The sequence below is a fragment of the Homo sapiens genome, chromosome 7, assembly GCF_000001405.40.
Source record: "Homo sapiens chromosome 7, GRCh38.p14 Primary Assembly".
Classification (NCBI taxonomy): Eukaryota; Metazoa; Chordata; class Mammalia; order Primates; family Hominidae; genus Homo; species Homo sapiens.
This window is the reverse complement of record NC_000007.14, coordinates 127,342,318-127,359,600: the sequence shown is the minus strand read 5'-3', so window position 1 is coordinate 127,359,600 and position 17,283 is coordinate 127,342,318. Positions and strand designations below refer to the sequence as shown.

The 17,283-nt window shown below is 36.2% G+C and overlaps 1 protein-coding gene across 9 annotated transcripts in view, besides 1 other annotated feature; it reads left to right on the top strand.

The window, feature by feature from the left end:
• ZNF800 (zinc finger protein 800) overlaps nt 1–16,742 on the top strand; it is a 49,850-nt gene extending 33,108 nt beyond the window's left edge. For 8 of the 9 annotated variants that reach the window (XM_011515859.4, XM_047419942.1, XM_006715868.5 and 5 more), the window contains one exon: nt 11,558–16,742. In XM_011515859.4, coding sequence (XP_011514161.1) covers nt 11,558–11,744 — 187 coding nt within the window. In that variant the 3' untranslated portion in view covers nt 11,745–16,742. Of the gene's footprint in view, nt 1–7,602; nt 9,775–11,557 lie in introns of those variants that run through there. The other variant, NM_001438591.1, reaches the window with a different exon arrangement.
• Nucleotides 11,471–11,840: a silencer, noted in NCBI's record as "silent region_18591". NCBI's record gives its function as "represses an Ori minimal core promoter by ATAC-STARR-seq in GM12878 lymphoblastoid cells {active_cell/tissue: GM12878}" and the evidence as "EXISTENCE:reporter gene assay evidence [ECO:0000049][PMID:35858748]".
• Nucleotides 16,743–17,283: the final 541 nt, after the last annotated feature.

Here is a 17,283-nt window from a genome sequence, read left to right as displayed (position 1 = left end):
ATTACACATGCTTAATTTTCATTATGATATTGTTAGGACTAGGTGTGTTTATTGTTTTTAAGGCATTGACTGACAATTTTGTTTTTGAATAAGTTCTATTTTAAAAATAACTTTAATTTCTTTACTTAAAAATATTTTGCTTTCAGGTCCTCTTTGCTAGAATTTTAATTTGGTATGTTGCATACAGAGGTGGAAATAGTGTTATAGCTTTTAAATAACTAAATTAACTTTGTTGGTAAGAATTAAAAATAACCTAAACCTTACTGGGTTGATCATAGGAAGCTGAAGGGATGCTGGGGCTATGATACATGACAGGAGATTTACTGACGTGACTGTAGTTGATTTGGGGGCTGTGGGGTGGTGACAGCTAGATTTGTTTACATGCTGCTGATGTGTAGATGGTGTCCTAGGTATGCAGGCAAACAGGTATTTGCTAGGTTGAATTAACCCAAATTCCTTTTAGTCTCTTGAGTAATGCAAGCCTTTGTATTACATGTTAATTAAAGAGTTTATTACTTGTAAGACTAGTTGTGTTTGAAATGAGGTGTTTGCCTTTTAAAGGTTGAAGATTTCAACTTAGCACACTTTATTGAATAGAAGATGAAAGAAATTATTTAAAAATACGATTGGGGACAGATTAGTAATAATAAGCAAATTAAACAATTTTTTTGGCAGAGCTTGTTCAGTATCAAAAGTTAAAGCATTCCATGAGTATTCTTCAGATTTCACTGTCTTACATTGACTTATTTCATTCAGTCAGTAAACAAGTAAGCTCCTGCTTCGTGCGAGGCACTGAGTCAGGTACAGAGACAAGCAATGCAGTTCCTCTTCAAGTATGATGGAAGAGGAATACATTATAAGGACACAGAAGTGGAATATTAAGGCACACTGAGGAGTTAGGAAAGACTTATAATTCCTAAATTTATTCTTGAGTTTTGAAAGAGATAGGCAGAAAAAGTTTCCATGTAGGTACAGAGACATGAAATCACATGTAGATTAAGGGAAGGAGTATGAGACAGGGAAATGGCCAAATCAAGAAGGCTTTTATGTACCAAGTAAATAGTTTGAACTATATTTCAAAATTAGGAGTACCGTTGAAAGATTATAAACAGGGACATATAATAGCACCAAGGGGACTGAATTGGAGTGGAGGTGGGGATGTGGGATTGTGTGAGGGAAATCAATTAAGAGACTATTTCAGAAGTCTAAGTAAGAGTGATAGGACGTAAATTCGGGTTTTGGCAATGAGACTACAGAAAAGGATACAGGTGAAATAATTATTTCAGAAATGAAATTTTCCAGGCAGTGGAGACGAAGAAAGAATCTAGTATGATTCAGTTTCAGGCATTCTAGTTGAGCAGGTGGGTGGCACCATTCTTCAAGGCAAAGAATACGGGAGGAAGAAGAACACTTTTCCAGGGGGAAATGCTGAATTAAGTTTTAGGTATGTTGAGTTTGAGGTGGTAGAGGGATATCTAATTGGAGATGCTTAATAGGAGTAGAATATACAGGTTAGAGGTCAGGAGAGAAATTGCCCAGGGGCTAGAGATTTAGAAGTCATTAGTATTCATGTAGTTGTTGAAGCCATAGACTTTGAAGGGATTACCAGGAAGAATAAATAGAATCAATGTATTATACTACTACATGGATTCTTTTCATTTATTATGTAATTTAGGATAATACCTACCTATTTCAGTTTTTCATTTGGGAGCAGGTATTTGGCTAGCTCTGATGCTGTCTCTCTCTCTCTCTCTGTTACCCCCACCCCCATATAAAATATGTAATATAACATGTATTTGATTTTACTCTGAGAAGTACTGAATAATTAAATTGTAATAGTATTAGGCAATATGAATTAATTTATGTGTTGTATTCAGAGAGGTTTTAAGATAAAATCTGTAAGACCTATTTTAAAAGATTATTTCTTGAAAAAGGAAAAATCTTATTTTAAAAAATAAAGCAATTGATTAGTGTTCTTGGACCAAATAAGATTTATTTGTTGAGTCCCATAGCTTTGATCTGTCCAGGAATTTTCATGATTTACTCCCCATGCCTCTGATCTAGGCAAGTACTATGTCTGTGTGCCTAATCTAGTCAAGGAAACTAGGAGAAAGCCATCTGGCTGATAAGATCCTGATAGAATTTGACATAATCCGTATGAGAAACTTAAGTAATTTAGTATCCATAGCCAGAGTCTAAGGGAATAAAGGTACTATTAAAGGTTGAACAGATGACTTAAATATATTAATTATACTTTGTAAAGCTGCACTTTTTGGACTGGTGAATATTTAATGAAATGTAGATCCTGCGTTGTCATCCTGTGGCCCTCATTGGTTTTTCCCTTTTCCACCTCCTTTCTGGAGGAAGAACCTAACGATAAAACTGTTTCTGATCTTGCCATCTAGAAAACACTAGTATGAAGTGGAAATTTGTGTCTCCTTAAAAGTGAAATGAAGCAGCCTATTTACCACCACGTACCTCCAGGCCAGTGGGTACTTATGAGGGTATGCAAGATGACTTTTCAGAAATCAGCCCTGCTTGGGATAGAAACCATTGATTTAATAAAGAAAGCATAGGTCTGTATACCACTCAAGATGCCATTGGTCTGTATCCAACTTTTTTGGCATTAACTTTTAAAATATGCCTTTAAAGGAAAGAATTCCCAGGAGACTTTGTCAAGTTTCAATATAGTAAATTTTATGGCTGAGTTATAACTCCTAAAAACTGAAGTCAATAGTAGAAATGACAGACCTGAATTAGAAGAGGATAGCTATAATAAAACAATTTTTTTATTCCCTTATGATCTAGAGTAAAAAAAACACACACACACACATTTTTAAGTTTTTTGTTTTAATGCTTTGAAAATGGTTTCTCTTTCTTGTTATTTATACTTTAATCAGTGATGGGTATTAGCATTAAAGCCTAATATCCACATCAAATAATACAAGGCACACTGCTGTAACACACAATTATATTAACCATAAACTTTTACCTGTTTCCAGTCTCTTTTTGTTTAAACATCATTTTTTTTTTCCTGGCAAGCCTCTATATTCTCATTCACACCCCAGTAAATCACTAAGAGATTATTGATGAAGATATGTGTATTTGGGTGTTTGAAGGATTGTAACAAAAATCAAAAGTAGAATAGAATTTTAGAATATATGCTTTCTGCATTGAGGACTTCATTTGCTTTATAGCCTTCTTTATATTTGTTGATATTCTTTCTTGCCCTGTGCCAACATTTTAGAAATACATTTTTAGAAATTTCTTACAAGATTTATCAGTATGCTACCAATAACAACACACACTCTCTCTCTCTCACACACACATACACACACACACACAGACACAACTTTTTATCCATGTAATAACAAATATCTTGAATTTATAATGTGTATTTTGCCAGAAGTTAAGTGGTTATACATCATTGCTTTAGCTTTACAAAATCACTAGATCACTGACAGATTGTTCTTTTGGTTTTTTTTGTTTTGACATTTTTTCATATAGTTAAAACCCACAGCACTCAATTTCATCACCCAGGCCCAATTCACAAACTTAATCAATGGCAAAGTAAAACTGGCACCTCTTGATTTCCTGGTTTATGTTTTTTGGGTGGAGCTGATTCCTGAGTATGAAAATTGTGTTAGGAAATAATATTAGGTACCTGCAAGAAAATACTGGAAGATGGTTACCAAACATCCTGTGTAAGTGTGATTTTCTCATACCTCAGGGCCCTGCCTATTAAAAAGTTGGATCTAGATGTGTGTTGATCTTGCCTAGTCAGCCAGTTTTGATATATTACTAGCATGTCATCATTCCTATGTAGTAATCTATAAAGAAAATTTGGCAACCCAACATTTGAAAAATAATTTTTAATATTTTTAGCCAAGTTACTATTTAGAATAAAACTATGTCTAAAACTAAATTCATCAGCCTGTTATCTACGATTACTGCTCCCATCCTACTAGAACTGACTCTCCTTGCTTGAATTCTTCATTTTATCCATGCTACCACCACCACTTTGCTTATTACGTAGACTTCAAAGTCTTATTTCTTCTATGAATCTGTTCTTGACAGTTCCAACTCATAGAGACCTCTTCTGATAAACTCACATTTACCTTACCATTTATTTTTCACTTCTATCCTTTGTGTTATTATTGCGTTATTAATTACATTGCCCCCCATGATTAGACTAAGCCCTTTGAGACCCAAGGCTAGCAGTTTTACCCTGCAGCATGTAGAATTATGAAAGAATGGATCACCAGGCCTGTCCCCATTCTTCCTGTCCTGTAAGCTATCAATAAGTTTTGATTTCTTTTTTGTAGTGTCTTCTTCATGTCCTATTTTTCCTGGTCTAAGCTTTCTATTGCTCTACTCTTGGCCTTCTCTGGTTCTTTTAGTATCTTCTGTTTATAAAGATTATGGATGATTTTTAGAAGATTCTTGGGATAATTTTTTGGAGATATATGGGTGATTTTCAGCTTTTTCCTATCTCAGTTTCAATTTTGAAACTCTACCACAAAATTCTACCTCTTTATACTTACATTTAATATTTACTCAATAACTGAAATGTTTTGAGAGTGTGTATCTCAGAAGCAATAGTTTGGATATGTCAAAAAGGTGGGTTAATCACACTTTTACTTTCAATACAGAATAAAAAGACAGAAGAGTAAGTCATTGCAAATTAAGGCTAATAGTTATTTTATTTCACCACCTGATATTTTGTATATACCTTCGATTGAGCCATAATTCTGTTGAGTTGTACATGGAGAATCTAGAGATTTAGTATTTTAAAATGGAGAAAATTGAGGTAAGTGATTGCACAAGGTCAAATGTGTAGCTGATGAAGAAGTCAGGAATAGAAGCCAGCTATCTCTTAAAGATTATTTTAATATGTAATAACATGTTTTTAAAAAGTACAAAAAGGTATACTGTGAAAGGTAAGTTTTTTCCCTACCCCATCTCTCAGTTCTTCCATTACCTTCCCCAGAGGCAAGAAGTTACCAATTTCTTGGACTTTCAAGAGCTATTTCATGTATGTGCAATCAAGGAGATGTATACATTGTCCTTCACACAGATGGTAGCATATTATGCATACCTTTCTGCACCTTGCTTTTTTTTACTTAACAATGTCTGAAAATTGTAGAGCCCGGGATTTTTTTGTTCCTTGGTCCATGAACTTTCCATTTTGCTATACTGCCTATTATTATTAAACAACTGTTTTTTGTTAATATGAATGGACAGAGTATTAAATTATTATTTATTTCTAGCATATTGAGTACCTCACGTGCAACATGATGTAGTATTTCACATTTCTTTCAGGAAGAGAGGGTCACTGATTTATGATAAATAATGTTGAAAGTTAAAAAATAATAAGGGAAATTTATAAATAGCTGTTATTGCTGGTTACCAAAAATAGCTAATTGTATATTTACTTTTCCATTTGAGAAAGAATTGGCAGATGAAGTTTTCAGGGAAATCATTTACCTTCAGACTTGTGTAAAAATTTGTACTGTGTGTACAAACAGTTTATCTCAAGGCCAGTGAGAAGCAATGATGTTAAAATGTCAAACCACAAATGTTTGTTTCATTTTCTAAATTTTAAAATCTCCAACCTCAAATGCATATCACAGAAATAGTCTTTCATTTGTTTCTCAAAACAGCTTGTAACTATATATTTTTATCTTGATATGATTCATGATCATCTATATAAAAATACACCATTAATTTTGATCATTCTGGGTTTTTTTTTTTGGCCAGCTTATCTATCAGTGCAATTATTGCTTTAACTTTCAGAGAAAAATAGAGCCTGTCAGAACCGTTTGATTTTAGATCTTATGGACCAAATTGTGTCACAAAAGACAAATCCATTTAAAAATGTGTCCCATGCCAAATGTCCATGATAATATTCATAGAGGTTGAGTACTTATATTTGAACTTCATGTTAGATAATTAGTCAGTAATTCTGCTTTCTTCCTAAAGATGGCAGGCCTTCTCAATGTATTATTTACTTGGTAATTCTGTCTGAAAATACTATTAGACTCCAACCATTGTTGATTGGAAAAAAAGTTAATCAGACTAAAAATATATTTTCATAACACCATCATCATAGTTAAAATTCAGTTGTTGAACAAGTAAGATCATATTCTTGATGTTCATAGCTTTAGCACAGCTTTTACGTGTGTTATCCTCAACCCTGAACACAGGGTCCTAAGGGTTCTTACTGCATTCTGACTTTGGAATTCTTGATGTAAGATAATGAACAAAAAGTCTTGTCAAGAACTGTGATTAAGTCATGTTAGGATCCTGCCATATTTATAAGTTTCTCTCCTATGGAGATGATGTCAGAAAACAAAAACTGGCCAACAAAACATCCCAAAAGGAAACAACACCCCTAAGTAATGATGTATTGCATATATTTGTGGACATCTGAAATATTTTTATATTTATTCTTTGGTAAAAGTTTATATGTCCAAGTTCTACTTGGACTTTTTCTTTTTGCTTAGGTGACTGATTCTTTTAATAAGCAAAATAAGTACTTATCGGTGCCATTGGGGGGAAAAAACCACTTTGGCCTTATCTGCTGTAAAAACTAAGCTCACAAGTTAGTGCTCTAGAGCATGGAAAAACACTATATTTTGTTCCTTTTCTCATCATTTCCATTTCTAATTAAAATGGTTATTGTGTGTGTGTGTGTGTGTGTAATCGTGGGATTTTGCTGTTTAAAGAAGGTGGACAGCAGGACAGAGGGCAGGCTGGCCTCCCTGCCAGGCCTCACAGGAACTTTGATGTGGCCACTGCTTTCTAAGGCTGACCCTGATTATTGGTTCATCCAGAGAGGTAACTAGGTATTAGAAGACTGTATCCCTTTAACCGGCTTCATAGTAGTGTATAAATTCCACAATTCAGTTCTTTAATTTGAGATGGGAAGTGTCAGGCACAATCATTTCTCATGTTTATGGTTCAGTGCATTTTCTCCCAATAGGCAAATCTACATGAAAAATAAATTATAATCAGAAGGTTGCTTGGTGAGCATTGAATCAGCTCTCAGCAACCAGTGTCAGTAAGCTCTGGTAGTGCAACACACTCATCTTCCCCATAGGAATGCAACTGCCACTCAGACCAGATATTGTTCAATATGCAGAGCATCCTTTCTACTAGACCAGGCTGCAGATGCATGGCCAGCTTTTGCTTTCTTCATTTCTTTTCTTACAGAGGTATTATAGACTTTCTCTTTTGATACTTTTTTTCTATTAGAATTTAATGCAGTTGAGTTGATTAATGTATGTAAAACACTTAGCCCAATTCCTGGTATACAGTAAGTACATGATAACTATTATTATGAATAAGCATAACTGGTTTTGAGTCCAAGTCATCTTGTTACTTGTAATATCAAAGACAGTCTTTTGGGCCATGTTTATAGATGAGTGTGATCCATCTTTTACATTTTGAGTTATTTTCATCCTTTAATTCTTTTCATTTAATTCTTCAATTTTATTTATCCTTAATGTTGAATCCATGAGCTAATTAGGACAATGCCTTTGACTGTATGTGATCTTGCTATTGTTTTAACTTTAAGATTTTTATTCTTTTAAATTTCAGTTTCTTGCTCTGAAATACCCCATTCTCCACATTTCCCCCACCTGTCATGTGAATCTGTTGGAAGAGATGATCTTGAAGTTGCTGCTCAGTTCCAGAATACATTTGATTTTACATCTTATTTGAGTATATGATGTCAGTTGTAGCCATTTCCATCTAACTGTGCTTGCCTTCATTTTAAGCTCTGCTTAAATTCTTTCTCATAGAGTGTGAAGTTATTTTGAAAATGGTAGCAACATCTGAATCCTTAGAAGGATGGCCATGGCACTGGGAGGTTGTGATTGAAAAGTCCATGGGTAAATGTAGGATTTCAGCAGTCAGCAGTGACACTACAGACCTGACAGATACACAACTGACAAATCAAAACATTTGTGTGAAAATGAGTACAGAAAGGAATGATTCAGATGAGTCAGTTGATCACCCCAGCAAAAATAATCATTGTCAGTCTTCTCTCCATCCATCTGGGAAGTGAGTTATTCTTTTAAGAGTTGCAAAGAAGATTCAGGAAAACAGGAAAAATTACCACAGCTCTTTCTGGTGCTTGTAAAAATACATAATATGGTGCATTTTTAAAGGTGGTGGTCTCAGAACCACATTTTGAGAACTGTCAAAGATAGGAACCATTGTCAGAGTTCAGAAGAGAGATCATTTCAGGCTGCAGTAGTCAGGGAAAGCTTAATGAAAGAGACTGGCTTTGGTCTAGGTCTTGAGAGATGGACAGGATTTGAATAGATGAGAGCAGGGAGAAAACATTTTTCGATGGGTGAAATGCCAAGAACAAAAGTACAGAGGTGGGAAACAATAGTGTAAGGGGAGTGCAGAATCAAATAGTTTGACTCAAAGGTTCTTAAATGTGGTCCATGAAAGAAAATTAAGGCCCTACTTCTGTCAAATGACATCACTCACTTCAGACTTGGAAGAAATGGGCAGCTCTGCATATTTCTCTTCAGCATGCAAATGAATGAAACTGTTGATGCCTCTCAGTGCATCCAGCTTCACATTTTCATGTGCTTGCTGATGTCATCAAAGGAGAACTCCATTTAAGAACACCTTTTGGAAACTGGAAAGACTGTCAACATCTTCAAAATATTCGTTCTCAATAAATATTCAAATGGAAGAAGAAAAATTGCACTCTGGGGGCAGCTGGTGCACCTGTGATGTCAGCAACACAGCATGGTTTTCCTGCTTGATGAGGAAAGGATTGCTGCACGTCATTGTGCCTCGGTGCTTTCCATATCAGCAGCTGTTACCACCTTTCCAAAAGGTGTTGCCAAGAAACAGGAGCAGGGTAAGATGTTTTTCTCTAACCAGACAGAAATCTGCTGACTTTCCAGAAGTCTAATTGAACTTGAAGGCAGAGGAAATAATGTGACTTGAATCTAACTTGAAAGTCTTGGAGGAATTTGGTGTTACAGTGTGCAGGCCACCTTAACCTGGCAAATTCCATTCTATGCAATTCTGCTTTCGTTCTATTAAATACGTACCTTTGTGAGTCAAGGATTTCAGCACTTGTTGCCATAGGGAAAAAGTTGTAATGGGTTATCAAAGATGAAGTATATGTTGCTATGTCAAAAGCCAAAGCACAGTTTCAACTCATTTAAACTAGATCTCATTGAGATGTACTACTGAACAGTCAGAATTTTCTAAATTTTTTTTCCAGGAAACAGTCATTTTTCTTTCAAAAGAGAACGGAGGCATAATCCTTTACAAATATTGCTTATGTTCAGTAAATCATCTTCCAGTGCAGTGAAACGAAGTAAATGGTGTATGCACTTCTGCGCATGTTTCTGGAGGAGGAAGTCCATATCTTTAGTCAGAATCTCTATCGATTTAGCTATTGTGGAGGCAGTAGGTTGCTCTGGATAAATCTGAGCAAAGGAATGAGAGGAAATCAGCTCATTTGAAGAATATGGGATGCGAAGCTTTGACACGACAATGGCGAGTAATTTAGGGATTCAGGTTATCCCCCGCATCTGAGTAATCTGAAGGTAATTTTCTAGCTAGAGCTTCTCAAAGGTAGGAACCTTGTGTTATCTTTTTTGTTCATACTGTCTGAGCACAGTGCAGGAGACATAATAGGGACTCCAAAAATGTTGAGTTAAATTGAAATCACTGTATGAATAGTGAAAGCTGGACTGTAGCACCAATAATAAATGCTCTTCTGTCTTATTTGTATTTAACATTGTTTGGTTACATCATTTGGGGAATATTAAGGTTTTTGAGAGAAAATGTTTTATTAAAAGCTCCTATAACCTTCATTTTATTCAGGAGCAGGTGGTTAACACAAACTTTTGGCCTTAAGAGGATTTATTCTCTTTGGACATTTTATTTATTTCTGATAATTTTTACCAAAAGTATGCTTCCAGACACAATAATTGTATCCAGTACCTTCAGGGTGAAGGAAACTTACAGGATGGTGTGATTACTTATGTCATCTGTTTAAGCAACAAAGCAACATTCCAATAAACATCTAATCTTGGATTTGCTCATCATTAGATAAAATCAGCCTGACAACTCTGAGCTCACTTCAGCTTAAAATATATCTGAAACTTACAGAGGATCTTCTATCAATCTAATAACAAAGTCCTGGAACCCCTCTCCTGTGTTATATTATTATAATTTTATTATCACTTTTATGCATGTTCCTGGAACAAGGCTTAGCAAAACAGACTCCCTAGGTATTAACTTAAAATTTTAAATTAATTTATGATTGGGAGACCAGGATGTTAAGCTTAGATTCTAGTTCATTGCCATATTTTAGTTTTGATCCCATTCAATTATTTCAAACTAAAGAGAGATTCATTGAATTACTCTAAAACATTGGTATGATCTAAAACATTTGTCCCACATTTTTCTGTTTTTAGCAAACTGTGTGTTCCCAAGTCTGGAAATTACAAATCAAATTACATTTCTCAAAAGCCCAGATTTTTTTTTTTCTAAAGTGGAAATTATTACTAGAGTTAAATAAGATATAATGTCACAAAAGACAGTAGCTTTGATTAACTGCAAAGTGTTTAAGCAATAAACTCTTCTGTAATACTGTAATTTACGCAGAACTTTTGAGGAAGATAAACTACTTTTGTGGACTCTTCATTTTTTAAAATCTTTTGATGTCCACCACTTTGCTACACAATAGAAAAGAAAGATTTTCATAAATTTGAATTGAGATAAATATAGAATGGGTACATAAGAATGGAGTAAAATTCCTTGTATTATATTTTTTACTGTAAAACAAACTTGTATGAAATTTGGGAAACATAAGTTAAAAAAGCGTTACCTGCAGCTTTATCACCTGGAGATAACTGCTTAACATTTTGATGTGTTTCTGTCCATTATTACATATGTGATGTGTCGTGTGTACACACATGTACACGTAAGTATACACTCACATGGTACAAATGGGGATGAAACTGATTTTTTTCATTGCATATAGTATCAATTCTTTTCCATATCATTACGTATTATTTCACAGCATTATTTCAATAGCAGTTTAGTATTCGCTGTAAGAAAAAGACTATAACCAATACCTTATTGTTGGGTGTAGGACATTCCCATTTTTTTTTTTTTTTTGCCATTTTTTTCTGGCATTTTTTTTTTCTATTATAGATACTGCACTGAACACCCTGTATGAAAAGTTTGTAGGTATTCATAATTATTCCTTAAGGGAAAATTCTCAAGCTAGACTTTCTGGGTCAAAGAGTATTCAGACATTTAAGGGTTTTGATACATTTTCCTAAATTGCCACCAAGTTGTTGCATGAGACCTGAATTGGATCTGTTTTCCTATGACCACCGCAGTTTTCTCTCTTGGCACCCTGTTGGGCGAAAGTGGCACCGCACTGCCCGTGGGTCTGCAGCTCTTGCGGGGCTGAGAGGCGTCGGCGCTCTTTCCTTGGTTTCTAACCCGCATATCTTTGTCTTTCCTCCCTGGGGACCGCTGCCACCCGTGCGGGCCGAAGCCTCGCGAAGCCGTCGTCCCGCAGCGCCGCCGCCCTGCGCCCGGCCGCCCCCGGGAGCCGCTGCCTGCCCGCGGGCGCCGTCACCACGCGTCAGGCCGCTGCCAGCTGCCGCGCCAAGCTCCGCGGCGGCGCCGCCCGAGAGCTCCAGCACGCTGCCCGGGGCCTGGGGAAGCCCGCGGCTCCGTGAGCGCCGCCGCCTGGCCGCCGGCGGGACCTCGCCCTCGCTCCGCACCGCCGTACCTCAGGCGCCTCGCCGCGGCCGTCTCCACGGGCCGACCAGCCGTCCGCAGACCCCTGAGTCCTCTGCCTCGCCTCAAACCCCTTTCACCCCTTGCCCTCGCCGTCCCTGGTTTGAGCCAGAACTCTCCCGCGAAGCCCTCTAGAGGACCACGTGCCTTAGGGACAGGCTGGGGGCGGCCTCCGTGCGAGTCGTGGTTGTTCGCAGAGCAGCACGTCCTCTGCCTGCCAAAATCCCGGCTTCTTTGAGAATCTTGTCACTGGACAATACCATCCTTTTCCTTTCAGCCTGTAATTTATAGATTTCCTATTCCTAGTGAGTTTTGTCATGATTAGTTCTTCAAAGACTAGCTCCTACTTGAACCTTCACCTCAAATCCTGGCATCGACAAACTAGTTTCCCCCCGCCCACCTCCCCACCCCCCCGCCACAACCCCAAATATTGCCATCTGCCAGAAGATTGTTTTAATAACTGTCCAAATCCTCAGTGACTGTGGGGTGCTTGACACAACTTGGAGTTGTGTTATGCACAACTGTGGTTGAACTTGAACTCCAACATCCAGTCCCCTCCTTCCTGTAACTTCATCTCCAGTAATTATTTCTCCCCTTCAGAATCAGTCCTTGCTACCACAGTTCTAGACCATGTCATCATTAGAATCCGCATCCTCTCTACAGTCTTGTCTGTGGTGACCATGGCCTCTCAGATCTCCTGCTCCACGGAGCGGAAGTGACTGACAGGTCCCCCTGCCTTCCCAAGGCATACACTGCTGGGTTTGCACTGAAGCCATGCTTCTCTGGCACTACTCCCAGTCAGTGAGCGGGCACAGCACGGGGTGTTGGTGGTGGCACGTTCATGGAAGATGTAGGACTCCTCTGATGAGCAAGTTTGGCTTGGAAACACCTGAGCCGGCTGGTTGAAACTTTCTGAGAACTATGCTGCATGCAGCCTGAGGCTCTTGGGCCCAGTTCCCCTCTCCTTTCACAGGTGTCAGACCTGTATTATGATATGAAGTCTCCCTTCCCCGCTCCTGCTTCCTTCTGTTTATCCTTCACAGGAGTTCCCTTAATAAAACTCTTGCACATTGAACCCTGTCTTGGTGTCTGCTTCTAAGAGGACCTGAACTAGCACATCATCAGACATTCCATGCTCTGATCACCATCTTCCTATCCTAGATTCCTTGCTCACTGACAGCTAATTCGTTGCTTCATTTTTTCCCCACTGTTTATCAGCCCCTGTCTTGCGTTCTCGTCCTTGCTTAGTCTAGATTCTGTGATCCATTATCATGATCATTCTCCTTGAAATGCATTGCTTTCAGCACTCTTGAACAGCAATTTCTTAATTTTCCTGGCAAAATCTCAACTCTGGAGAAATCTTACCATCTGCCTTCCATGGGCCTTACTGGGACAACTGAACATTTTCTTTGAGAAAAGTACACAGTTCAGCCAATTCATTTTTACTTCCAATCCATTAACTCAAACCTCAAGTTGGTGCTGTTGTTCCTACTGTAGTCTCAGTTCTCCACATCTGAGACTACTCTTCATACCTTTTCATCTCCTCAAAATGTTCTGATCTTTTCCTCCCTGTTTACTTCACATTTGCCTGAGAAAACAGAATTTACTACATACAGACTTTCTCATCTTGTCACCACAAGATCCTCCAACCCAGTTACCTTGGTAACCTTCCTTTTTGTGATAATAGAGGGAGCTTCACAGATTAGCTCCTCCTGTCATGCCCCGAATCCCAGCCCCCTTGCCTTTTCAAGGACTTCTTCCTTAGGTTTTCCCCTTTCTCTCTTTTGCATCATCAATCCTGCCTCCTCTCAATGGATTATTCCCTGCACACATGCTCCAGTGTCTTTCATCTTAACCACACCTTCCCTCGTGCACGTCTTCTCCATCTGTGAACCATCTCTCAGCTCTCCTTTAGAACTAAACTTTTTAATGGAGTTGTCTATTCTTTCCTACCGGGATATTGTGACACCAGTCCCACCTGGTCTCTCTGCTACCACTCTTAACCACTCCAATACGTTTTTGATAGAGTGGTAGCAACAACCTTTCTCACAAATTGAATTAAGCAAATTGTTGCTTTTAGGATAAAATCTAAACCCCTTTACCATGGCTCACATAGCCTTGCACAGTCTGACCCTTACTTATCCTTCCACCCCCGTCTATGCTCCTCTCTTTATTGCCCACTCGAATGCAGCCACACTGCTTTTTCCAATATGCCAAGATATTTTCTGCACCTCAGGGGCCTAGGAAATGCTGTTGTCTCTGTTTAAGCTGCTTTTCACAGCCACCCTCTCTCCCACCACAACCGTATCCTTTAGATAACTGATTAAATATAACATCTTGAGAAAGTTGTTATATTTCTGCACAGAGCACTCTATTGAAAGTAGACCCTCCCTTTCTGTCCTCCCATTTGCTGTATCAGTCCTTTGTTTCCTTCATCACTCTAATCCTGTATCTCAACTTGTAGTGTTATTTATTTTTTTATTTACCTTTGGGGGGGGGGTCTATTTCCCATACTAGAATGTATAAAGGAAGAGACCATGTTTGGATGTCTAGATTCTTCAACATTGTATTCTCCGCCTGTAGCACAATATTTGACACATATTAGGTGCACAAGAAATATCTGTTGAAGGAATGAATGAACATATTTGATATTTTTTCTGTTGAGGGTTCACTTTTCATTGATTTGTAAGAACTTTTTATATATTGAAACCACTAACCATTTGTTTGTTCTGCATGCTGCAGACATTTTGCTCTTTGTCAGATATCTATCAATTTAATCCATGATGTCTTTGATAAACAGAAATATTGCATTTTTTATTTAGATAAATCAGTCTTTCATGATTTCTGCTTTTGGTGTTATGTTTAAAGAGGTCTTCTCTTTCCCAGTGTTATATAAATATCTGTCTATTTTTTATTTCATTTTTTCAGATTTGAATTTTTACTCCAAATGGAATTTATTTTTGATATAGGTGTGATTAAGGGTCTAAATATTTATTTAGTTGTTGTATCATCATTTATTGAAAACTCACTTTTCTACTGTTTTAAAAATTCCACATTTATCAAATACTAAATTCCTACACACACTTGGAGCGGTTTCTGAATTTGTTGTTTGTTTAATTTTTTTATATCCTCTATTCCTTAACCATGCTGTTAATTATTGCCATTTTATCATTTGCTTTACTGTGTGTTAAGTTTCAATGGGGGTAAATGTTACTCTTCTTTTTTAAATATTTTTGGCTATATTTTTTCATGTATTCTCGCAGATAAGCTTCAGTTATGTTTTGGTCACATTCCAAAAGAAATTCTATTGCCATTTTGTTTGGAATTGCTTTAACAATATAGACTAATTTGGGGAGAATTACCAACTTTGTAATATTAAATTTCTTATTCAGGAACTTGTCATGTGTTAAGGTTACTGAAGACAATCTCCAAATGTTCTTTAGTAATTTTGTATGTTTTGCATATTTTTATTAATTGTATTGTTAGATATTTCATTTCTTTGTTGCATTTGAATGGGATCATTTTTCCATCATTTTTTATTAGTGGCTACTCCTTCTGGGGTCAAGCTATTTATTTTTGTGTTTGATAACTTTTTTGAACTCTTTCATTAATACTCCCTAGTTGATTCTCTTCTAAGTAGCCAATCATTCTTAAGTATAATTAATGGTGATTTTTCTCTCTTCCTTTATAATATTTATACCTCATGTGTTAAATAAATGATGGTAATAACTTTGCCCTTATTCCTGATTTGTTAGGTATGCCATTAAATTTTACCAGCTTTTAAATGTTAGCTCTTAGACTGAAATACAGGTCTTTATCATGTTAAAGATGTGGTTTGATGGTTCAAATATACTAAGCATTTTATTAGAAGTTGTTCAATTATATTAAGCATACTCTAGGCAACTAGAAATGATCATGTGATTTTACTTCTCTGGCCTATTATCACAATAAATTATGTTAGTAGTTTCTCAATACTGGATTATTTCTGCATGAGATGTATCCTGTTAAATAATGGTGGTTTTTCCCTTTTTTTCTTGTAACAATGTTGAACTCAATTTCTTACATTTTATTTGGATTATTGCATTTATATTTATGAATAAGATTGGGTTGTAGTTTTACATTTTTGAATTCTACCTTTATCAGCTTAAAAACCTAGATTGGTACATAGCATATGAATTGCCTATTCTTTGGGGTCTGGAGAAACTCACCCATAACATTGTTTAGGCCTCAATCTCTTTAAGGGAGGATGAGTAGAAGACAATTCTCTGAAAACTTAAAAAACCTTTTTCTATGGTTTTACTGTCACTTCTTGAGTATCAATTTAAAAAATCATATTTTTAAAGAAAAACATGCATTTTCAGAGAATTTTAAAATTTGTTGTCTATATATAATTATAATTAAAAATATTTTTCTCTGTATCTCTGGTTATTGCTTCTTTCTCATTTCTGGTCTTTTTAGTTACTTTTTTCCTTTCTTTTATTAGACTTGCCAGTCTTTTTAAGGAACCAGCACTTGAGTATTTCATCAGTTCTATTTTTTCTATTTGTTATAATATTAATATAACTTTTCATCTTTAATTCCTTCCTTATTTTTAATGTTTATTTTGTTGCTTTATGAATGTTTTGTACTAATTGATGGCTTAGTTCATTTATTTTCATTTTTTAATTTAATAATAGGACACGTAAGACTATAACTTTGCCTTTGGGCACAGCTTTGACTGCATCTCAAAAGTTTTGGTATGTAGTCTCTTAATTGTTGCTATTTAAAAATAATGGATTATATTACTGTTTTTATTTTATTTTTGATGTATTATTTAGGATAGTATTGTGAGGTTTTTGTTATTTGTTAATCCTACTTTCTTTTTAATAAAGAATAAACTTATTAATATTTATGTTGCTACTTTAATAAAGAGCTGATTTTGTTTGGAAAAAGTGAAATTATATGTGAAGTGGTCTCATCTGAAGTTGTATACAAGCACCATGGAGAGTTCCTTGTCACACGATTCTACCAATAGCATCAGCTAGTGGCAGCTATACTAATTATTGACAGCAGGGACTTGGTATATCACTAATGCCAATAATTTACAGGAATTCTGATTTTATAAAGTCCTATTTTTCCATATGAAAGTTAAGAAAGAACTTTAAAAATGTTTATTGGACCAGAAATCCTAAAGTATGATAAAACTTAAAAGGTCATCTGCTAACTAGAGCAACTCATCAAAGTTTATGAAATCAGGAAGGATTTGAATATTGTGAAAATGGACTGTGTCTCAAAATGTTGGCATTAGAACAATTTTTCTTTTAGACTTGGCAAAAGTATTTTGAAAAATATTTGTTTTTTATAATTACAGATGTAATTTATGTACAGAAATAAAATAAAAATACCCTGTAACTTCATTACCCAGAGAAAAGCACAGCTAACATTCTGTTGTATTTCCTACTAAGATTGTTCCTGTAAATCTTTCTCTTTTTCTTTCTG